General features: G+C 34.6%; 2 long non-coding RNA genes across 3 annotated transcripts in view; one reads left to right on the forward strand and one right to left on the reverse strand.

The window, feature by feature from the left end:
- CXXC4-AS1 (CXXC4 antisense RNA 1) overlaps positions 1-24,963 on the forward strand; it is a 206,628-nt gene that overhangs the window by 38,376 nt on the left and 143,289 nt on the right. The window lies entirely within an intron of this gene.
- Positions 1-24,963, reverse strand: part of LOC124900745 (uncharacterized) — a 141,925-nt gene that overhangs the window by 15,326 nt on the left and 101,636 nt on the right. Inside the window, exons 1-4 of one of the 2 annotated variants that reach the window (XR_007058210.1) lie at positions 24,292-24,356; positions 23,741-23,883; positions 23,421-23,644; positions 20,626-20,696 (exon numbers count right to left, since the gene is read on the reverse strand). The exons of the other annotated variant lie outside the window; for it this stretch is intronic. This is a non-coding gene — a long non-coding RNA (uncharacterized LOC124900745). Of the gene's footprint in view, positions 1-20,625; positions 20,697-23,420; positions 23,645-23,740; positions 23,884-24,291; positions 24,357-24,963 lie in introns of those variants that run through there. 2 annotated transcript variants of the gene reach the window in all.

Here is a 24,963-nt window from a genome sequence, read left to right on the forward strand (position 1 = left end):
AAAAATAAAACCATAAACATGAAAGAAATAATTGAAATCAAGAAAGAAGTGATTTTCCAAAAGTCGAGTAATATACCAAAATCCTCCAAACAGTTCAAGAAGATTGTGGGCTGTCAAGGGTCCACCTGATGTGGCTATTAAGAAGTTGTTAGTGATGTCGATGATAACATCAATGGAGTGATGGGACTAGAAACTAGACTGAAGTTGGTTGAGAAAAATAGAAACAGTGAATATGGTCTCCTAAGTTCATAAACTTAGTTACAGAGGGAATGAAAGTGACCAGAAAGTTGAAAAGGCTTAAATAGATTAGTATAGAGGAAGGGATATAAGGTAAAACATAAGATCCTCTATGAACAAACCATTTTTTTTCCCTCAATTTTTATATCCTGTTTGTTCTCCCCTTCAAACTGCTTAATCACTTAGAGTTCCTCAAATACGCCATACAGTTATACTTGGACAAGCTATTTTCTGTGTTTTTCCCTGCTTGAAGGGACTTTTCGCAGTAAGGTATGTTCTTGTTTTCCTACATATCTTTACAGGAACAAGTACAAATATTTATGAATACCTACTATGCACTAACCACTGTGTTAGAGACATAAAAACAATTGTCTTAATGAACCATCACATAAACTCTGTATTGTAGGCATAATTATCCCCATTTTAGAGGTAAAAAACTGGACTTGGAAAGATATAATGACTTGTCCAGATACACATCTCGTACCTGGTGGGTTAGAAATTTGAATGTATTACTCTCTCCAAAGTTTGTGTTCTAGTCTCAATTTCATTAAACATATACCACTTTGTAAAAGATCTCCTGTCTGAGGGTGTGATCCCTCCTATAAGCAGTGGGGCAGATGGAGGAGGTTTTGCATTAAAATTGATTAGTGTTGATCTTGCCATCCTTTGAAACACAGACATATCTCGCATATGTCAACTACAGCACTTATTACACTGTTTTGTAACATTAAAAAGTATATGAAGTACTCTTGCCGGCAATAAAGAGGCATATAAGTATTGAAGTAGGGGTGAGAAAGCAAAAGCACTTGTGTTAATGGGGAGGGTGCATTCGAAAGGAAGAGACTAGAAGCAGAGAGATAACTAATAATTTATAAATCCAAATGAGATAAATGAGGGCCTACCTAAAGCTGTCATAGAGAGCCCGGAAACAAGAGGAAATAATCGAAGGAGGTTTAAGAAACAGAATCACTAGGACTTGGCCAGTTGGCTGGGAGGAGAGTGATGACACACAGTTTTCTAGCTGAATGGATTGAATGGATTGATGTATCTCAATGAAAATGGAAATATGGGAGAGAGAACAGATTTGAGAAGGAAGTGTGGAGCCAACTATGAAATATGTGTGAGATATGGAGGAGGGGGAAAGAGACCACAACAAAGAGATCCTGAGTCAGTATATTTACAACCAAGTCTGAGAAGTTTTTTATCCAATACTCATTTAATCTACAAAGGACTTTTAGTTCCTAACTGTTATCTGTGGATTTTGACTCAGAAGAAGCTGGCAACCAAATAAATTTATATATAAGATTTATCAAAAGAACACTATTTCTCAAGGTTTCCATGGCAAAATTAAGATATATTCTTCAAAAATATTTCATTTTAGTTAGAAAATAAACTTTTTAATTTCTATTGTATTTTAGTTTTGTGTTGCTGAAATGTTATATATTTAATGCTCACCAGCATCACCTCTACCCAATGGTTTCATGGTTCTTCGATAATAATGACATAACAATCTGGGTGTTGCTTTCTGGATTCCTTTCGCATCTAAAAACTAGGACAGCCCTTTAGGATTGACTACAAGCCTCAGGGAACACACAATTGCCATTTGGTAAAGGACAGAGCATAGCATAATTCTAGATGACATTGTGCCAGAATTTGAGCAGTGAAATGATGTCACATTCCACACAGTCATATTTATCACTTTCCCTCTTGGTACTGACATTGTTTGTAACTTTGAAATATTTTGTGCTATGTTGAAGTTTAAAATAAAAAGACAGGTCATACTAATGAGTTTGCAATCTACCTCTATTTTTTTTGTTGTTGTTGTTAAATACTGTCATGACACAAAACACTGAAGCCATTCTCTATTAAAGATTCTGTATTCATCACCATATATATTATTAGATCTTTAGGGAAGTTAATTGAAGTGGTGAAAATGTATTGAGGAGATTTATAAAAAGTGAAATTGTCCCTGCCAAAGTTTCAGCAGGAAGAGTTTGGTCATTAGTGCTCTCTAGTGGAGCAGGGATTTTGTGCTTAACTTTTCAGACATGTTTCAGAAAGCTGTTTTTCCAGCAAATCTCTTCTACTGCTCAGCATGGCCTGAAGCTCAGGGTCTTTATATGCTGTACTGAACGTGGGGTCATAAGGTGTTGGCAATGAGTTTTTGAGCATTCTGGACTTTAAAGCTGCCACTCTATTTATCCTATCTGTTTTGGAAGTGAGTGATGTTTCATCCTGTTACTTTGTTGAGGACCATGAATATGCACATTTATCTTTCATGCTCTAGGAAATACTGGGACAAGATAACTTCAGCACCAGACCTAATTGTTGTAGCATACTGCATGCTTTTATTTTATTACTCATAAGTTATAGGTAATTATTATTCTAAATTTATTAAATTTTAAACATTTATTACTCAAATTAAAAATAAGCAAAAATTATAGCAGGGAAGAATAACTTCTGAGTCCAAAGCAAATTACTTTGATAAAACTATGTTTCTTAGATTAATCTGAGTCTGAACTGAGAAAAAAAATTGTAAATCCTTTCTGGCAAATGAACACAGGGAAAACTATCTGGAAGAATACTGCTGGTACTAATTTAACAAAGCACTCAGATTTTTCCAAGTTGACTTTAATTGGAGTACTGCATAATTTAGCACATTAGTGAAAAACTTAAATGAATGATGTGGAAACAAATGTTTAAAGGTGCCTTTTGAAAAAAATTTAATGTGGAAGAATCCTGGCAGGGTAACTTATATTTTGGATACTTTAGGTCATTTGCACATTATAAAACTAAGTGGCGAATTTGCATTTGTAAAACAAATTTTGGTGCTTAAATTTCCAAATCAGTAGTTTTTTTTTCTCTCTCTCCCTCCCTACACACACACACACACACACACACACTTTTGAACTAGTTCAGAGTTTCTTACACTCTTATTCATTACATTTATTTCCTATAATTCTATTGCTTTAGAGCTTCCATTAATAGTTCTTACCTCATCATGCATCAGTGCAACAGTGCAGCTTCACTTCTTTTTTCACCAGTGCTTTTCTTCCCATCACTAAGACGCTACTTTAGTCTTTGCTTTTAGGCAAAGAAATTTATTCTATAGAACAAAATTTGTCAAATAGAAAGCAATGGTGTGCAGTGAATTTGAAAGACAAGACAGAGGTTTAGTAAGAATAAAAAAAAAGTTGATGGTTGGATGGCTAAGATAAAGAGGAAGAGGTGGAGGTGAGGCTTGAGTTGGACCTTTCAAAAGACAGGAGCCAGCACAGGGCAAAGGAGGGCAAGGGAATGGAATGTAGCCTGAATGCAGGGGAGCAGGCGAGAGCTGTTTCAAGGAATACCGCATACCAAAGAAATATATCACTTTAAAAAATTACTTTCCCTCTACATCAGCTGACAGAGACCAAGCATCCTGGACCTTGGGCCTCTGGTGATTTCTATTTTTCAACAACCCTCATGTCAAAGTATTTCTGCTGTCTGAATAGCAATCTCCATATAAAGGCCAGCTTCACTATATAAATAGCATGCAAGAACAGTTCTTATGGTGTTGTATTTTATACTGGCAGTATGGTTAGGCTACTTTGCCAACTACCATGGTTTTATTTTATCAACACAGTCTATACCTCTACTCAAAATATTCCTTTCTATTGTTTCTATGATTTTTCATTCCATGTAATTCACCCTACCCACATCTGCAATTCTATAAATAATTACCTAGAGGAACATGGTTCAGATCAACCCTCAGATCACACTAAAGACTATGAAAGCCGTGATTAATAGGAGTTGAACCCCTGGAGACCTTTTCTTAGTGAGAAATTTTCTTGTGTCTCCTCTAGCTTACTCAGCCATATTAAAAACTCTGGTGACAGAAAATTATTAATTCTGTGGCTTTCACCTACAACTCCTAGCATCTGAAAAGACTTGCTCAGTGCTCTAAGCAGGACCAGGAAGGATCCTGACTCCATAGGGAACTCTTTGCCCAACACCTATGAGCACCAAACATTTCCATGGATAGAGTGTCCTGAATGAAAAATGTTTTTCATCCTTTCCAAAAAGAATTTGACAAAGTTTCATAAACGCCAGAAGTATGATTTATGGCAGCTAATGCTGGGACAGATTCCTCTAGAGCCTAGTGAAATAGGGGGTGCACTTATCTAACATATGGGCGTGAGACCTGGCTGCAGTGCTAGGCACCATCTCTGACTCAGTGTTTACCTCCAGCACTGCTTTCTAATGACCAAGGGAGAGAGAAGTAAGTCTTAGAAGCAGAGTTGCACCTTTAAAAATCCGTATGTGGTGCCTTTTAAAAAAAAGTTCTATATAGTGTGGAACATCAAAAATGTGCTAGGGTGAGAAGAATGATATGTAGAACCTAGCTTCTAATAATTACTTTTTCTTCATCCACTGATCTCGCTTTCTCGCTTCCCTCTTATATTAAGTGGTATGGGGAAATTGCTTGAAAAGGATCCTTGCAGCCTCTTCTTTCTGCCTACTCTTTAGTCTCCTTCTGTTTCATGAATTGAGCTCTTTTGTCCATGGCTTATCTGAATATTATGTTGCATGTCCCAGATTTCTGCTTCTGTCCTATTCCTATATCATGGAATATTTAAGAGTCCAAACATGGAATTTTTGTAGAGAGTCTCTGGCAATTTAAAATAGATTGTTTGGAAAGATAAATGATGGCAAGCACGATTGAATAAAATAATACATGTTAACTATTAAAGTATATAATTGGATGATAAAAACTGTAGTTTCTTATGTTATTAAAAATGCACTGGTGAATTTTTTGGTGTTATGAAGATTGTATGTTTTTTTCCACATTGAAAGCAGGAATAAAAATATGTGTAATTATGGCATAAGTACAAACAGAATTGTTAAAGTAGTAGCTATAATGGGCATGGTGGTACATGCCTGTAATCCCAGATACTCAGGAGGCTGAAGAAAGAGAATCACTTGAGCCTGGGAGGCAGAGGCTGCAGTGAGATGAGATCACACCACTGCAGTCCAGCCTGGGTGACAGAATGAGACTCTGTCTCAAAAAAAAAGTAGCAATTTAGTATGTCATCAGAAGTTTGATAACAAACAAGCATATTATTATTTTTATTAATATATCAGATATTCTGCTCTTGGTGAAGCCGAAGCCATCTTGACCAAAAAAGTAAACAAAGCTGGAGGAATCACACTACCAGATTTCAAAATATGTTACAAATTTATAGTAATCTAAACAACATGGCAGTGGCTTAAAAGCAGTCACATCGACAAGAGCAATAGGATAGAAAGCCCATAAATAAACACATCTATGGTCAATTGATTTTTGAAAAAGGGGCCAAGAACACACAATGGGGAAAGGACAGTTCCTTCAATAAATGCTATTGGAAAACTAGATATTCACATGCAGCATAAAAAGAATATTTACAATTCTGTCTTCTAGCTATTAATATACAGTACATTATTATTAGCTATAGTTAAACTACTGCCTAATAGAACACAATAACTTATTCATCCTAACTGTAGCTTTGTACCTGCTGACTAACCTCTCCCAATCCCTCCATCTCTTCTACACTCTCCAGCCTCTGGTAACTACTATTCTACTCTCTACTTCAATGAGATAAACTTTTTTAGATTCCACACGAGTGAGATAATGCAGTATTGGTCCTGTGCTTGGCTTATTTCACTTAATATAGTGTCCTCTACATCCATCCAGATTGTCACAAATAACAGGATTCCATTCTTTTAATGGTTAAATAGTATTCTATTGGGTATATATACCACATTTTAAAATTCATTCATCTGCTGATGGACACTTAGGTTGATACTATGTCTTGGCTATTGTGAATAGTGCTGCAATGAACATGGGCTGCATATATCTCTTAGACATAATTGATTTCATTTTCTTTGGATATATTCCCAGTAGTGGGATTGTTGGATCATATAGTAGTTCTATTTTTAATTTTTTAAGGAACATCCATACTGTTGTTCATAATGGCTCTACCAATTTACATTTCCACAAACAGTTTATATGAGCTCTCCTTTCTTCACATTCTTGCCAACATTTGTAATTTTTTTGTCTTTCTGACAATAGCCATTCTAACTGGGGTGAAGTGATATCTCATTGTGGTTTTTAAATTTCTATTTCCCTGATACTTAGTGATATTGGCATTTTTCATATATTTATTGATCACTTGTATGTCTATTTTTGAGAAATGTCTATTCAAATCTTTTGCTCATTTTAAAATTGGCTTATTTGTTATTTTTTGCCCATTTTAAAACTGGCTTATGGAATACTTTCTTCCATTATGTAGGTTGTCTTTTCACTCTATTAATTGTTTGCTGAGCAGAAGCTTTCTAGTTTGCTATAGTTACATGTGTCTATTTTTGCTTTTATTGTTTGTGCTTTTAAGGTCTTATCCAAAAAATTATTGCCCAGTACATTTTCGTGAAGCATTTCCCTAATGTTTTCTTCTAATAGTTTTATAGTTTCAGGTCTTACATTGAATTTCTTAATCCATTTAGAGTTGATTTTTTAATATGGTGAGAGATTAGTCTAGTTTTATTTTTCTGCATGTGGAAATAAAGCTTTCCTAGCATCAATATTCCTTTCCCCAATATGTGTTAGTGGTGCCTTTGTCAAAAAACAGTAGGCTATAAATGCTTGGATTTATTTATTGGTTCTCTATTCTGTTCCACTGGCCTGTGTGTCTGTTTTTATGCCAGTATCATGCTGTTTTGGTTATTATAGCTTTGTATCATATTTTAAAGTCAGATAGTGTGATGCCTCCAGCTTTTTTCTTTTGTTCAAGATTGCTTTGACTGTCTGGGAACTTTTATATTTCTATACAAAATTTAAGATTGTTTCATCTATTTCTGTGAAGAATTTCAAGTGCTGTTTGATAAAAATTATGTTGAATCAACAGATTGCTTTGGGTTATATGGACATTTTAACAATATTAATTATTCTAGTCCATGAACATGGGATACATTTTCATTTCTTTGTATACTTGTCAATTTCATTCATCAATTTTTTTTGGACTTTTCACTGTAAAGATCTTTCACCTCCTTATTTAAGTATATTCCTAGGTATCTTTTTTTTTTCTTTTTTCTTTTTTCTTTTTTTTTTTTTTTTTTGAGACGGAGTCTTGCTCTGTCACTCAGGGTAGAGTGCAGTGGCGTGATCTCAGCTCACTGCAACCTCCACCTCCCGGGTTCAAGCGATTCTCCTGCCTCAGCCTCCCGAGTAGCTGGGACTACAGGTGCCCACCACCACACCGGGCTAATTTTTGTATTTTTAGTAGAGATGGGTTTCGCCATGTTGGTCAATCTGGTCTTGAACTCCTGACCTCAGGTGATCCACCCACCTTGGCCTCCCAAAGCACTGGGATTACATCTATTTTTTTTTTTTGGTAGCTATTATAAATGCAACTGCGTTTCTGATTTGTTTTTTCAGGAAGTTTGCTATTGTCATTTATAAATCCTACTTATTTTTGGATGTTTATTTTGTATTCTGCAACTTTACTAAATTTATTTTTTAGTTTTTAAAGTTTTCCCACTAAAGCCTCTTTTTAAAAATAGCATTTCTAATGCATGCATGATTCTCCATGCCATGGATACAGAAAATTTGTCTGTTTTATTTCCTCTATTTTTGTAAAATTAGGTTTCCCCCGTACCAATTTTTGCACTTAGGAAAATTACTATTATAAAATTATATACATAAACAATTCTATGTATTTACAACTACCACTTTAAAAAAATCCATATGACTACCAGAACTTAAATTACTGGACCAAAAAGCTAGAAGCTTTCTTTTAAAATTTAGTACATATTTTTAAATTGCTTTGGGGAAAATACGAGTTTCCAGCTTATACAGCCCTAGTTTTAAAATTGTTATGTTAAATTTAAAATTCAATGTTATTATATTTATTAGTTTATTTTAACATCTAATTATTGAGTTTAATACAATTTAACATTAACTTTTAAATTTATTATTATTTCATTGTTAATTTGAAAGATCTTAATGTGTCAATTTGTATTTCTTAAATTAATAGAAATTAGCATCTTCTCTAAATTTATAAGCTTTTTATGATCTTCATGTCTTATCTGTTCAGTCACTTTATAATTTCATGGTACCAACATTAATTCCTTGCAGCTCTCCTTGTGCCAAGTAACATTTACTCTGTCATTTTTTGCTTTATTATTTGTATAAATTTATGGGGTACAAGTGTAATTTTATTATATGGATGTAGAGTATAGGGATGAAGTTAAGGCTTTTAGTGTATCCATCATCAGAATAATGCACATGTGCTTGTTTTAAAATTGCATTTGTAATATTTAGGCCTTCTAAGTTTTAAATTTTTATGTGATCTAATCTACCTGTTGTCTTTGTGATTTTCCCTTCATTGCCTATAAATTCAATAATTTTGAGTTTAGAAAATTATTGCCTAGACCCAGAGTCAAAACATATGCATTTCTATTTTCTTATGGTTTTTCAAAACTTTGATTAAGAAAAAAAAAGTTTAACTATTTAAAGCTAAAACTTATTATGGTATGAAATATAATTTCTAAAGTACTTTTTATATACCCCATTTATTCATTCATTTTATAAATAATTATTTAGTGTTATACTCTACATTAAGCTGTTAGGAAGTCAGTGAACAAAGCAGAAAAAGTGGCCTTAAGAACTTAAATTCTAGCTAGAGGGAGACAGAGATGCTGTTAGGTAGATAGATGTAAACACACACACTGCACCACCCCTCCACCCACACACACGTTTCTTTTTATATATGTGTGTGTGTGTGTGTGTGTGTGTGTGTGTGTGTGTGTGTGTATATTCTCAATGAAGTAGGAAGCAAAATCAACTACTACTAGATGGGAGAGGAGAAGGTATAAATTGTCATGTAGGAGGGTGGCAGAATAGAGGTACTAGGAAAATACAGTATGATTTCCTGGCAGCCTGGAGTTCCCACTTGAACTTAGTGATCATTAATTATTCAGCATGATTGTATATTTTTCTCCAGCTCCATTCAGCTGCAAAGCTTTAAGTATGAAGTGGGCAGAGAGTTGAATTTACTCAGGTTTGTGTATTTTCCAAGTGAGCATCAGTAAGCCAGAGAGAAGCGAGGGAGTAGAGGGTGTATATACAAGGGAATGATTATGATGATGGACCATGGAATTAAAGATGGTAACAAAGAGTGTGAAAGTATCAAAGGGGTAAGGGACAATTAAGTGTATAGGAATAATCCATTGGTGTAAGTGAAGAATTATTGGAGTAGGAGTACTAGAAGAATTTAGCTGAAAAGTTGGGACATTGAGGTTATCATGGGGTTGCAGTTTTTCGTAATGACAAGACACTGGCATGCTTCTGAGAGTGAATACCTCCTTAAACTTCATACTTGCCTCTTCCTAGTTCTAACCCCACTGTCTACATGAATATTGAAATGGTCCAAGATAAGAAGGCAGTATTATCGGATAGAATAACAACGAACTAGGAGATAAACTTGTTGAAATATGAGAAAGAATGTCTTGGAGAACAGCAGATGACAGAAAAATGAGAGAAAGAAGATGATATTCTGTGATGAAATGAGACTCTTTAGGAAGGAGAAAGGGAAATTTGCCGGCAAGCAGCAATGATCACAAACTCCACCCCCAGGCTCAGTGGAATAATCCCCAATAAAGGAAGCACAAACCACAGAAAACAGAAAAGTAGTAATGATGCTAAATGTTCATGAGACTGGAACCTGGCCCTTGAGCTCCCATAACTCCATCTGTCTCAGCCTGATCTCTTTTTGTCTCAGCAATCTGCTGCCTGCTCTAGATTTCCCAGTTTGGCAAACCAACCGTTCAGTTTCTCTGGCTCTTTACTGTTTCTCTTCATCCCCCATATGATGGCTTAATTTTCCCTCTGGCCTAGCACTTGTTTTGGAAAATGCTTCTGGTAACTGACCTCTTTGTCTTGACTAAGAGATTTGTTTCTTGTGCATGGCTCGGTAGTTAGTCCAGTAAGGTGTGTACAGGAATCATGGAACATACATTCTACCTTATTTGACTAAACACTTATAGCAAGAAAGCACACTAATGGGCTGATTAAAAAAAAACTGATCTTGATTTCAATCACAGTAGAAAGTTATATAACTTGATCTCTACTGCCCATTTCATTTTCATGGAAATTTATAGTGAGATTGAAAGTAGCAAAAAACTAAATTTCTATACCAAATTCTCAGAAATAAAAATCACCAAGGGCACTGATTCTCAATCGTTCTCTTTTTTTTTTTTTTAATTACACTTTAAGTTTTGGGATACATGTGCAGAACATGCAGGTTTATTACATAGGTATACACGTGCCATGGTGGTTTGCCTCACCCATCAACCTATCATCTACATTAGATATTTCTTCTAATGCTATCCTTCCCCTATCCCCCAACCCTCCAACAGGCCCCGGTATGTGATGTTCCCCTCCCTGTGTCTCTGTGTTCTCACTGTTAAACTCCCACTTATGAGTGAGAATATGCAGTGTTTGGTTTTCTATTCCTGTGTTAGTTTGCTGAGAATGATGGTTTCCAGCTTGATCCATGTCCCTGCAAATGACATAAACTCATCCCTTTTTATGGCTGCATAGTATTCCATGGTGTGTATGTGCTACATTTTCTTTAGCCAGTCTATCATTGATGGGCATTTCAGCTGGTTCCAAGTTTTTACTATTGTGAATAGTGCTGCAATAAACATACATGAGCACCTGTCATTATAGTAGAATGAGTTATAATCCTTTGGGTATATGCCCAGTAATGGGATTGCTGGGTCAAATGGTATTACTGGTTCTAGATCCTTTAGGAATTGCCACACTGTCTTCCACAATGGTTGAACTAATTTACACTCCCACCAACAGTGTAAAAGCATTCCTATTTCTCCACATCCTCTCCAGCATCTGTTTCCTGACTTTTTAATGATTGCCATTCTAACTGGTGTGAGATGATATCTCATTGTGGTTTTGATTTGCATTTCTCTAATGACCAGTGATGATGGGCTTTTTTTCCTATGTATGTTGGCCACATAAATGTCTTCTTTTGAGAAGTATCTGTTTATATCCTTTGCCCACTTTTTCATGTTTTTTTTTTTTTTTTTTGTAAATTTGTTTAAGTTCTTTGTAGATTCTGGATATTAGCCCTTTGTCAGATGGGAAGATTGCAAAAATTTTCTCCCATTCTGTAGGTTGCCTGATCATTCTAATGATAGTTTCTTTTGCTGTGCAGAAGCTCTTTAGTTTAATTAGATCCCATTTATCAATTTTGGCTTTTGTGGCCATTGCTTTTGGTGTTTTAGTCAGGAAGTCTTTGCCGATGCCTATGTCCTGAATGGTGTTGCCTAAATTTTCTTCTAGAGTATTTATGGTTTTAGGTCTTAAGTTTAAGTCTTTATTCATCTTGAGTTAATTTTTGTATGAGGTGTAAGGAAAGGGTACAGTTTCAGTTTTCTGCATATAGCTAGCCAGCTTTCCCAACACCATTTATTAAATAGGGAATCCTTTCCCCATTGCTTGTTTTTGTCAGGTTTGCAAAGATCAGATGGTTGTAGATGTGTGGTGTTATTTCTGAGGCCTCTGTTTTGTCCCATTGATCTATATATCTGTTTTGGTACCAGTACCATGCTGATTTGGTTATGGTAGCTTTGTAGTATAGTTTAAAGTCAGGTAGTGTGATGCCTCCAGCTTTGTTCTTTTTGCTTAGGCTTGTCTTGCCTATACGGGCTCTTTTTTTGGTTCATATGAAATTTAAAATAGTTTTTTCCTAATTCTGTGAAGAAAGTCAATGGTAGCTTGATGGGGATACCATTGAATCTATAAATTACTTTGGGCAGTATGGCCATTTTCACGATATTGACTCTTCCCATCCATGAGCATGGGATGTTTTTCCATTTGTTTGTGTCCTCTTTCATTTCCTTGAGTGATGGTTTGTAGTTCTCCTTGAAGAGGTCCTTCACATCCCTCATAAGTTGTATTCCTAGGTATTTTATTCTAGCAATTGTGAATGGGACTTCACTCATGATTTGGCTCTCTGTCTGTTACTGGTGTATAGGAATGCTTGTGATTTTTGACATTGATTTTGTATCCTGAGAATTTGCTGAAGTTGCCTATCAGCTTAAGGAGTTTTGGGGCTGAGATAGTGGGGTTTTCTAAATATAGAATCATGTCATCTGCAAACAGAGACAATTTGACTTCCTCTCTTCCTATTTGAATGCACTTTATTTCTTTCTCTTTCCTGATTTCCCTGGTCAGAATTTCCAATACTATGTTGAATAGGAGTGATGACAGAGGGCATACTTGTCTTGTGCCAGTTTTCAAAGGGAATGCTTCCAGCTTTTGTCCATTCAGTATGATATTGGCTGTGGGCTTGTCATAAATAGCTCTTATTATTTTAAGCTATGTTCCATCAATACATAGTTTATTGAGTTTTCTTTTTAGCAGAAAGGGGTGTTGAATTTTATCAAAGGCCTTTTCTGCAACTATTGAGATAATCATGTGGTTTTTTTCATTGGTACTGTTCATGTGATGGACTACGTTTATTAATTTGCATATGTTGTACTAGCCTTGCATCCCGGGTATGAAGCCATCTTTATCGTGGTGGATAAGCTTTTTGATTTGCTGCTGGATTCAGTTTGCCAATGCAAAAGGCTGAAAATTCCAAACACCAGAATGCCTCTTCTCCTCCAAGGATCACCACTCCTCTCCAGCAAGGGAACAAAACAGGACAACGAATGAGTTTGATTAATTGACAAAAGTAGGCTTCAGAAAGTGGGTAATAACAAATTCCTCCTAGCTAAAGGAGCATGTTCTAACCCAATGCAAGGAAGCTAAGAACCTTGATAAAAGGTTACAGGATCTGCTAACTAGAGGAACCAGTTGAGAGAACATAAATGATGTGATGGGGAGAATGGAACCAAGATGGAAAACACTCTTCAGGATATTATCCAGGAGAACTTCCCTAATCTAGCAAGACAGGCCAACATTCAACTTCAGGAAATACAGAGAAAACGCCACAAAGATACTTCTCGAGAAGAGCAACCCCAAAACACATAACCATCAGATTCACCAAGGTTGAACTAAAGGAAAAAATGTTAAGTGCAGCCAGAGAGAAAGGTCAGGTTGCCCACAAAGGGAAGCCCATCAGACTAACAGTGGATCTCTCTGAAGAAACCCTACAAGCCAGAAGAGAATTGGGGCCAATATTCAACATTCTTAAAGAAAAGAATTTTCAACCCAGAATTTCATATCCAGCCAAACTAAGCTTCATAAGTGTGGAAGGAGAAATAAAATCCTTTAGAGACAAGCAAATGCTGAGAGATTTTATCACCACCAGGCCTGCCTTACAAGAGCTCCTGAAGTAAGCACTAAATATGGAAAGGAAAAACCGGTACTAGCCACTGCCAAAACATACCGAATTGTAAAGACCATTGACACTATGAAGAAACTGCACCAACTAATGGGCAAAATAACCAGCTAGCATCATAAGGACAGGATCCAATTCACACATAATTATATTAATCTTAAATGTAAATGGGCTAAATACCCTATTAAAAAGACACAGACTGGCAAATTGGATAAGGAGTCAAGACCCATCGGTGTGCTGTATTCTGGAGACCCATCTCACTTGCAAAGACACACATAGGCTCAAAATAAAGGGATGGAGGAATATTTACCAAGAAAATGGAAAGCAAAAAAAAGCAGGGGTTGCAATCCTAGTCTCTGATAAAACAGACTTTAAACCAACTAAGATAAAAAAAGACCAAGAAGGGCATTACATAATGGTAAAGGGATCAACGCAACATGAAGAGCTAACTATCCTAAACATATATGCACTCAATTGTTCTCTTTAAAGATTACTGCTGAAATTATACCTCTTCAACCTCCAGCCAAAGAAAGGATTCAAAATTCCATTTGTTGTTAAATAGATATTTATTTATATAAATTTACATATTTTTATAAATAATATTTCAATATCTGGTTAATGTGGTTCCAGTTTTTTAAAATCACTTGACACTTTGAAATGTCTGACACTGTATATCACTAAGGTATATAATTTACAGTCTGTTATAATGATGTTCTTTTAACTGTTGGATCTTTGATAAGAAATATTTCTTCTTTGTCATATACATTGCAATGTATAGTTTCTTTTTAGAATTAGGAATTTGATCAATTGTTTGTTCACTTCAGTAAAAATATGACTTTCACAGTAGAATGTCAACCCACCTCCACTTACTCAACCCACTGGTAATCAAGATTCCATTCCTCTAAAACACATTAAATAATGCTGTCACCCAGTATTGTCAGCTGGCTAGTCACCCTTCTGTAGTCTTCAGTCTATAGCCTGTGCTCACTGGTTAAATTATAGGTTTACCAAGAAGCAGTTGGATTTGCCCTCAAAGTTGTTTCATTCACTTCACTTGTTGTCATTTTAAATTTAAATAAATATTCTATAAATTATTAAGTATGCATGAAAGAAAAAAGAAAACAAATTTGTTTCTAGGAAAATTAAACTGAATGCTCGGAAATGTCTTGATAAAGTTAAATCATAAATCGAAGTTGAATTAGGTGCAGAAAAAAATCTAAAAATTTAAGAAATGTTTTTTTCTTCTAAGGGCTTTAAATTTTAACTCCACTTTTACAGAATTCACTATTGAAAATTGTAACTGATGTATTGTGATTGTAATTTATTCAAAAAGGAGAGCAAGTAACTAAGTAAAAGGCCTTGCCTATGAGAATTTGATGAAGAAATGTGCCTTTATATTCTTTCAGTTAAAATAACCTTTAAAAATATGTTATATTTTATGATTCCCTTTAAATCTATATTTTAGATTAACAGATTAACAAAAGTTTGTAATCTTGGATAGAATGGCACTACCGTATAATTAAATGCTGATTCATCTGACTCCAAATCCTTTGCTTTTTACCACTATAGTAACATTCAATTCTTGCCTAATTTTTCATACCTTAAAACAAACAAACAAAGGACAACAACAACAAAAACCTTTTTTTTTATATTACCTTCTAGACAAACCCTAATTTTTCTTCTTTTCAAAGTTAAGTTCCTCAAAATAATCTACTATGATTTCTTCCTCCATTCACTCTATAAGTTGCAGCAGCCAAAGTTCTGACAAATAAGTAACTCTGGCCAAGGCCTGGAACTGCTGTTGAAAAGTCCACCCATGAGCCTTTCAATTAGACTTTTCTAATGGGTTCTATTCATCCCCATCTTGTTCGATTTCAGTAGTATTTTAGATGGTTGGCTGTTTTCTTCCTCTTCAAAATGTCTCCTTTCTTGGTAATTCCTTCTACAGCACTGCGTTTTTTTGTTTTTTTTTGTTTTCCTCAGTCTCTTGCAGGACTTCTCTTCGTATTTACTTATTTGTCTCAGGATTTGTCAATGGCTCTTTTATGTCCCTTTCTTTCATTCATTTTTCTGATTATAAAAGTAAAATATGGCCATTATAGAATATTAGAAATTAAATATTATCTTGAAATCAACACAAAACTTAAAATTATGTATAATCATGCCACCTATCAATTACTACTGTCACATACTGATTATTTTCTCTGCCTTTTTATGCCTAACAGTGCTTAACAGAAAGGAAATGATACTCATATTTAGTTTTGTTTTCTACTTTTTTCACTAAATATTATTTTATAAAATTTCCAACATTATTAAATATTTCTTGAAAATGTGATTTTTATAGCTGAATAACATTTTATAAATTTGTGATGGTTTAAGCATTCTGCCTTCCTTACTGACATTTAACTTGCTTCCATATGTATTTATTTTTAACTCAAAATAAAAATTTTACTTTTTTAACAGTAGAGTTTAATTCACATTTATTGTCATAACCAATGTAACTTCCTTCTCTTTTCAATAAAGGTAAGAGAGTGTTTTTTCCAAACACACACCAGAGAATGTATTTCTGTTTTTCTTCTCACAAATAGTTAACTCTTGGCTTGGCACGGAATTCTTAAGTCATATTTTTGCCCTATGAAAACTTGATATTTCAGATTATGTTCTGAAATTTAGCATTGTGAAGCAGAAATATCTAGTCACCATGTTTTTATTTATACAGGAATATTTTTTCTTCCCATCTGTTTGCTTATAAAAACTTTTATTCACCTATGAACTTAACAATATTTACTAGGCTATGTCTGGATTGATTATCCAAAATTAACCCTGGTAGAGTAACTTCATCAAGAGCCAACAGTGAAGAGTCATCAGCATTGACATCTTTTTCTAAAGTCATAAAACCAGGATGTTCTTAATGCAGAACTGGCTGACTACCAAATAACAGTATTATTAAATATATAGATGCTGACAAGCATTCTTCAGATTTATGTAGCAATTTATACTTACAGAGAACTTGACAAATATGAAGATACATACATAATTCAACTCTGACCCAAGAATTATTTATTTGTTCATTTTTATGTTTCCTAGTTATAATATGTTTATATATAACTTAATGATTTACAGGAACCTGCAAGAACATCATTTAATTTGATTCTCATCACAACTATGAGAGGGAAGTTTGGCTATTGCTTCCCTATTTTATGGATAAGAGAAATGATCCCCAAAGCAATTCAGTTACTTTCCCAACTTTGTCCAACTACTAAGTCTTGGAGTAAGATTTGCAACCAGGTATTTTGTTTCCAAACAGTTTGTTATTCCCATTATTTTGGATTTTTTTACATAATTTATATAATTATGAGCCCAAAAGACAGAAAAGGAGCCCCTGTGGACTGTAGCAAGAATGGGTGTGATTCTCAGTATGTGCTGATAGGTTTCATACTATCCACCTGGAATCTCACCACACTGGCATGATTATACAGGCCCTTAAAGAACTTATTTTTCTTCAGAAAGCCCATATAAAACACAGATTTTCAATAAAATTACAACTAATTTTTTTAAGGGAGCATTTGTTAGTAGGCGAAAAGAATAACAACTAGTGCAAGAAATGTATGTTGACCAAAAAAAAAACAAAACAAAAAAAAAGGAAGGAGGTAATTGTTGAAAGAGAATAGGCCCATATATATATTTTTTTCTATTTCATTAGATACCTCTTGTATTACTTCTACTTGAAGATTCTGTAATACTTTAAATATGTTATAATTCACATGCTTTGAATTGTCACCTGATATAAAGTAGTTTCTTCATAATTTAAATACAAAATATTTTAAATTTGATAGGCACTACACTATAAATCCCCCAAATATATATATTTTTAGGAGATTTTCATATTAAATACTTTATAGCATTGCTAAAAATTAGAACATTTTCTATATATATATGGTGTACACATTTTTAAGGTAATAAAAATTAGGACACATTATATTGTAACAAGTGTGTAAGTTTTGTACCACATGAAAGTTGATACACTTGCCATTTGATTACTACAATATACCCATTATGACTAAATAGTATTGCAGTAAAAGGGTTCTTTACTTTCAGGGTATTTTACTTGCACTTTTTGCATTTACTTGTGTTGGTTTTTTAAGCTCCATTTTCCACAGACTCATGCTAAAGGGGCCAGGTGACAACCTCACACTCAATGCATTACATTACAAAAGAAGAACTCTGAACTTATGAATCCTCTCTTATGGACAGATGTGATGCCTCCCCTTTGCTCTGGAGGAAAACACTATCTCTATCTTCCAAGGATATTTGCTATATAATAATCTTTAAAAGACAGCTGAGAACAAAGGAAAGTTAGTACTTCACTCTTAAGATGTGCAGAAACACAAGGTACCCATGAAAAATTGTCTCCCCCAAATCATTTGAAATACAGTTAGAACTTTGTGATAATTTCTGACTATATAAGATAAATACTGAACTACATATTCATATTAGCATTGTTGAGATATATGACCTTGCCTTTCTTTTACAGCTTTAATAGTTTATGTCTGGTAACAATGTCTGTGTGGTTCAAGATTAGGAATCTATTCTTCAGCTTCTCAAATATACAAAGTAAATAGCTATATGATGCCTGAATTAGTTTTGAACATTATTAAAGCTAACTTATATCTTTTTTTTATCTTGCCACTGACTGGCATTTATCTCAATCAGAATGCAAAAAAACACAAGACATAAGAAAACATTGCTTGGGAAAATTAGTATTATGTTCACTAAATGTATATTTAAACATTTTTTGAAATTATCTTATTCTCATCATTATATGAAAACTTACATAAAATTATGGTATGATAACTTATGAAAATCATGGAAAATATTGTTTGTTAAGCAAAATTCAAATTCACATGTATTAAAATATTTGTAACTGATATGCACATATATACATATATCGATATACTAGATATTATTGAGAATGTTTACATTTTCCAAAAAGAGAAATCACTCCAGTGTTCCACTATAAAACTAATGCAGCTCATCAATATATTTTATATAGAGTATATATTAAAAAGTAAATATATATCTACTTGTATAGTGTACATATATACTATGCATATACATGTATAGTATATATGTATAATATATACAGTATATATTATAAGTGTACATTGGACATGCATATATGTACATGTGTACACTTGTAATATATACTGTATGTAATATGAAGTTTCTAATACATACTGTATATATTACACATATATACTACATGTGCATATATAATATACACAGTATATGATCATATATATTAAGTAACATATACACTATAATACACAGATTATATATATTTTAATATGGACAACTTATTTTTAATATTATCTTAGATTCTCATATTTTGGTAATACATATGATTATCTAGCATATAATTAATTAAATTCCTGCTTTTCATTCTAGTTTTAGAAGTTCTTAAATATATTTTTGCTCCTTTAAAATGAAAACAATTGGGAGGGGTTGGGGAGAAACAGAGGTGAAAGAGGCTGGAAAATACTTCTTCAAAAATAAATAAATCTATCCACTATTCAAGAATGAGTCAAACATTCATTATCACTCAAACAACTGCCAAGCAATTGAAATCCTTCTAATTGCAAGTACCCTAAACGTAGCTTATTGCCTTCCTTTCCTGTTTCCTGACTTCTCTGGGTCGTTTCATTCGCACCTTTCTTTTAAGCCATCTGGGATCCTCTGTACAACCGAGCTTTAATGCTGGACACCTGGTCTGACAATGTTTGCTTCTCTCTTTCACCTGCCAGCCCTTTGTTCCTCCCCAAGATTGAATGAGCCCTACTAGTCCTGTCAAGCATGCACACATAGCAGCTTTTCTTTCATTCAATCTTAGACTAGTCCTTAAGTTTGGTAAATCCTTTCATTACTTTGCCTTACCCATTTAGCTGTTCCATCTATTTCGTGATCTCTAGAATCTTATAATCCACATGAGAATTATATCTAGATAAATGTGATACCTCTAGAACACCAGGGTGGAAGGAAGGAAAGGCATGACTGAAAATAAAAATCATATAAAACTCCCTGTTCTTGCTAGAAAATAGTTATAAATCATTGGGGTTTGTGCTCAAATTTAAAAATGCAAAATATACAGGATTTGATATGTGTAATCAGTACTTAGGAAAATATCATATAGCTCTTTCACAAAGCAGGTAAGCCCTACTTACCACTCAAGACATAATTTTTCACTCTTTGTCTAGTACCTCCCAGGATTTGTATCCCAGCTCTTTAGCTCCTCCTACACACAAAGCTCCTTTTACACTTCCAAAAATAATTTCTGATCTGACATCCCAGTGATATTGAGTCTATACCTCAACTTCCATCTGTTTCCCACTCTCAATTTCTATAGACTGTACAAGTAAGAATATGGTACTTGGCTTAGCATTCATTCCTTTTAATTATTCAGAAGTCTTTCCAAACTTTAGCCTTTTTCAAGTTCCTTCTTTCAGTCAATACAGACAACTTTCCTAGTTTAACTCAAACACAATTATACTTCTCAGAGGCTTCTGTTAAAATGATGTCACTCCAGTGCTCAATAAAACAAATCCAGAAAAATATTTGTCATTCTAATTGTATGAAAAAAGAAAATAAAAATAATTATAACAAAAATTCTGTAAGCACTACTGAGTTTTATAAAAAGAAGCAAATAAGTTGGAAGGTCAAGGAATCTTATGGCAAGTCTTTAGTCAAATTAGATATTTCAATAGAACACTATGAAGAAGCCAGCTTTGGGAATGAGGTAAGGGGAGTAATTGTAAACTTTATTGAAATAATGAGGATAAGGGTCCTGTTATTGACGGCCTCAGAACTGATAAGTTGCAACTAGGTTTTGATAACTTGCACTTGATAAGCCAGTTCCAGAAAAATATTTTCACAGTGAGTACAGGGCTCAAGAGAACACTGATTTAGTCAGGTAACCGTGGAGAAATTGTAAACACTGATTCTCTCCTACCTCCTCCTGCTCTGTAGAACTGCTCCCAGGTTCTTGCCTGCTGTTCCTCCTCCTGTTCCATGTCCCATTGCCTGTGAGAAATATCACCCATTTTCACAATTAAGTAAAGAATCAGAATTAATTAATCTCTTAATGATACAGTCTGAGAACTCAAGTGATTTTTTAAAAGTTACAAGAGAGAGAAGAGGAAAATTCTAATCCGAGAAAAAAAGAGAAAAATTTCCAAATGTAATATCTACATATACTGTCATTTATCTGCTGCAGCATAGAGGAAGGACTATCAGTGGTGAAGGTGAATTCTAATTCACAGGAAAATATACTGGGAATGGTGTGACAAGCAAAACTTGCAGCCTCATCTATAACTGTCTGGTATATCAAGTAAACTTAGTTAACTTGAGATTTTAAACTAAGAAACTAAATGAGCCCTCCCAACAGAACTGAACTTTTGTGAGGCCATATGTGAAAAGTGGAAGTAAAATGATTCTTGGTTTAAAAGATAAAGATAGGGGGGAAAAAAAAGCATAGTAGCACAGAATGCCATGGAGCTCCATAACTGTGGAGAAGCCCACGGGGAGGGGGAATTTAAATGAAGGACAAAGGAGACATAGATATAAATGTACTATAGGTCACCCAGTTAGACTGAGAAAATTTCAGAGAGCAAAAAAAAAGTGTTGAAATAAGACATGCAAAGATGTTTTAACTAGTGATAGGGAACCTCTGGGAAGAGAATTGCAGTGGTATGTTTCAAGGATCCTTTTATTGTCTCCATCTTGATGGACATGTTTACCAGTGACTTGGATGAGGCCATGGATGCAAGTTGATATATCTGCACTAAGAACAAGGTAGACAGAAATTCTAATAACTGGTTTAGATTTTCCAGTTCTTCAACTGGTCCCTCATTTTTCTTTCACTATTGCCCTTGATCTTTCCTACACTGACTCTTCCTTTCCCTTCCCATACAATCATTCCTAACAATGTTGCTATATCCATGACTATGTTTCCTAAATTATATTCACATCTTGGACCTCTGAAAATTGACTACCACCCCCACCATCCCACCAGAGCTATCCTTGCTAATGTCCTTATTTAGGAAGGTGTCTTAGTTGTCAAGTTCGATGGACTTCTTGTGTCATACCTCATCCTATTAGCCTCTCTGGTATTCACCTCCTTTGACAAATTCATCCTTATTACATTCTCTGTCATCTCCTTTGTGTCCTTCCTCTTTAATTCCTTTAAAACATTGGAATTCCTTATAGTTCCTTTTGTCTTCTTACTCTCTGCTGCCTTTTAGAGCAATCTCACATACTTTCATGACTAAAACAAACAATGGATGCAGTCCTTTAACCCCATGTTCCAGACCAAATATCTCCTCTATGTGACATTCAACAAAACGAATTCGACAAAACTACCATTGCTTTCTACGCCTAATCTACCCTTGTCCTCCAGAAGGCATGAGCTCAAAAAATAGAAGCAGAAAACATGAGTCATCTATACTAGATTATAAATTCCTTCCCAACCTCATGCTCTATGTTCAGTGAAGTGTTGGAAATCAGTTGAGTATAGTTAACCAGCTATAGTGTTTGTAGCAACAAGGAATGCAATTTGATTGCAGGTTACTTCAATTCTTATAAAATCTTCATTAAAATATCATCTTTACAAAAATCAAAAGGGCAATTTCAAATTCTGAGTGTTCATTTTCTCGGTGAATTACTGTCTTTATTTTGCATTATTCTTATGTTCATTATGTCAAAAAGTTTACACACTTAATTTTCTTTCTTGTATCATTCATATTTTAAGGTTAGAAAGTTTGTGGTCTGTAAAGGCCATCTTCCTACATTAGGAAACTACTGATTATTTCTATGTATAAAATTTCAGGTTTGGCCTTTCGAGGAAAACAACGCATCTTAATTTTAAAATAGATGTTCTTATAAAGGATATATTTTACTTTTTACTGATATTTGGATGATATAAACATTCACGTATTCTTATTTGATAATTATTTGAGGGGTGCCATAAAGGATTCATCTACAACTATACAAAACTTCCTTCTCCCTCTTATATGCAACCTTTCTAAAGTAGGAAGAGAAGAGCTGGGTTGCCAGATTCCAAACACACATGAAAACCATTGCACCTAAATTTAGAATTTTAAAAAATCTTTTCCATATTCCAATTTGGCTTTGATAAAATTTGAATTCTGAGCTACACTTTAAAAGTTATTCTTTTTTTTCTCTATCTAGGCTTAGGAGTAGGGTAATGCTGTTCATGAAGCTATGTCATTATGTGTGTTAAGTCTAATTCTACAGAGGAAGTGAGCTGTTATAAAATCAAAGTATGTTCATTGGATTTGATGTAAGAATTAGAATGGTAGAGAGAGAAGGAGAAGATTATTTTATTCCATTCATGAATAACAGAGAAAATGGTCTCTCCTGCATGTCCTCTTGACTTATATACCATGAGCGTGGAAGCATAGATATGAGAAAATTGAAAATAACTGGTTGACCACAAATAAACAGTGATTCTTATTTCCAACATTCCAACCATAGCTTTTTCCACTCAAAATATGCAAGAGTTCTGTTACCTGGGAGATCTTTCTCCCCTTGTATCATTTAGCTATTGTTATGTAATAATCCTCCTCATCCAGCCCCCTTCCCCCAAGAAAATCTCAGTGGCTTAAAACAATAAGCATTTATTATTTTGCATGAATCTGTAAGTCATCTGAGTGTTTTGGGTGTGTGGGGTCTTAGATGGGCTCACTCAGTCATACACCTGTGGTCAGCTGCAGATTAAGTAGGTACCTCTGATAATCCAGGCAGATCTCTTTCACATGACTAATTAGCGATAAGCATGTGTAGGTCAATAATTCTCCATCAGCCTAGCCCAAGCTCAAGGAGGAGGCAAGAGCAGAAGTGCACAAGGCCTCTTCAGGCCTAGGCTCAGAACAGGCACACCTTCACTTCTGTCTCATTCTTGGCCTAGATTTAAGGGGTGGACGATGGACTCCACTTATTGTTGGAAGGAGCTGCAAAATATATTACAAGGAGATTTGTTCCAGTTACTATTGTGAATAATAACATATTCCAAAACATAATGGCTAAAAACAATTTATGTTTCTCACAGATTCTGGGGGTCAGGAATTTAGACAAAAATGCAGTGGCTGTCCTTTACTGGTTTCAGGAAGACTTGAAGCTTAGGAGTAGCTTGGCAGCTGGAGGCTAGAATCATCTGAAGGCTCATTCATTCACAGGCCTGGGACCTGGGCTGTGGAGATTCAAAGATGAGTAGTGTTGATTGGGTAGCCTCCATGTGGCCTCTCCATGTAGTTTGGCTTCCACATAGTATAGTGGACACAAGGGACTCAGACTTCTTATGTGGTAGTTCAGGGCTCCAAGCCCAGGACTCCAAGACGGAAGCTGAATTGCCTTTTATAACATATCTTTAGAAGTCATACAGCAGCAATTCCATCATATTTAATTAATCAAGGCAATAGAAGCTAGATTGAAAAGGAGAAGAATCAGCCTCCATTTCAACAGAATGTCAAAACCATGTTGGAGAAAATTATGTGCGGCAGGAGATATTGTTGCAGTCATTTTAAAAAAATACAGTCTGCTGTAATCTGCATTTTAGCCTCACCAATTTACATTCCTTCTATATGCAAAATACATTCACCTCACCCCCCAAAACCTCTATTAGGATGTCAACTTAAAGACCAACAGTTCATTATTTAAATCAGGTCCAGGTGTGGATGAGGCTCCTTGAATATGATTCGTTGCGTTAGACTCTTAAAGTTTCTCTAGTTTTCTCTAATTCTGAGGATCTGTGAACTAAAGAGGACCCCTGTCAGGCTGCTATGGAACAACGCACTCAAGAGTCTAAGGAGACCTAATATTTAACAGAGAAGTTTTGGGAGGCATGGCCTTGTGTACTTAGAAAAACTTTCATCTGTGTGAAAGGGTTTATGAAGCATCATTGTTAATCTTTCTGAGGTGTGAACAAAGGGTTATATTGTGAGGTCATTGGTTTTATCTTGACCCTATTAGCTGAAACAGTTATGAGCCCACTCTGCCTCTTGATGGGGAAGTAAAAATGTTATATTATAATAAGACATGTGATTTAGGAGATATTGGTGCTATCATCTTTGGAAAACATAACCTGCCATAGAGTGAAACCAGGAGGTTAAGTGAGTGGGATATAAACCTGATTAATCTACCATACCCTCTTAAAAAGTTATTGACTTACTTTTTGGACAAATATTTATAGTGTTTTTTACGTTCCAGGTAGAGTTCTAGGTACTAGAAAAAATAGTGAATAAAAAATACATTCTACTCTCATAGTGCTTTA

Source organism: Homo sapiens, chromosome 4 (assembly GCF_000001405.40).
Source record: "Homo sapiens chromosome 4, GRCh38.p14 Primary Assembly".
Taxonomy (NCBI): domain Eukaryota; kingdom Metazoa; phylum Chordata; class Mammalia; order Primates; family Hominidae; genus Homo; species Homo sapiens.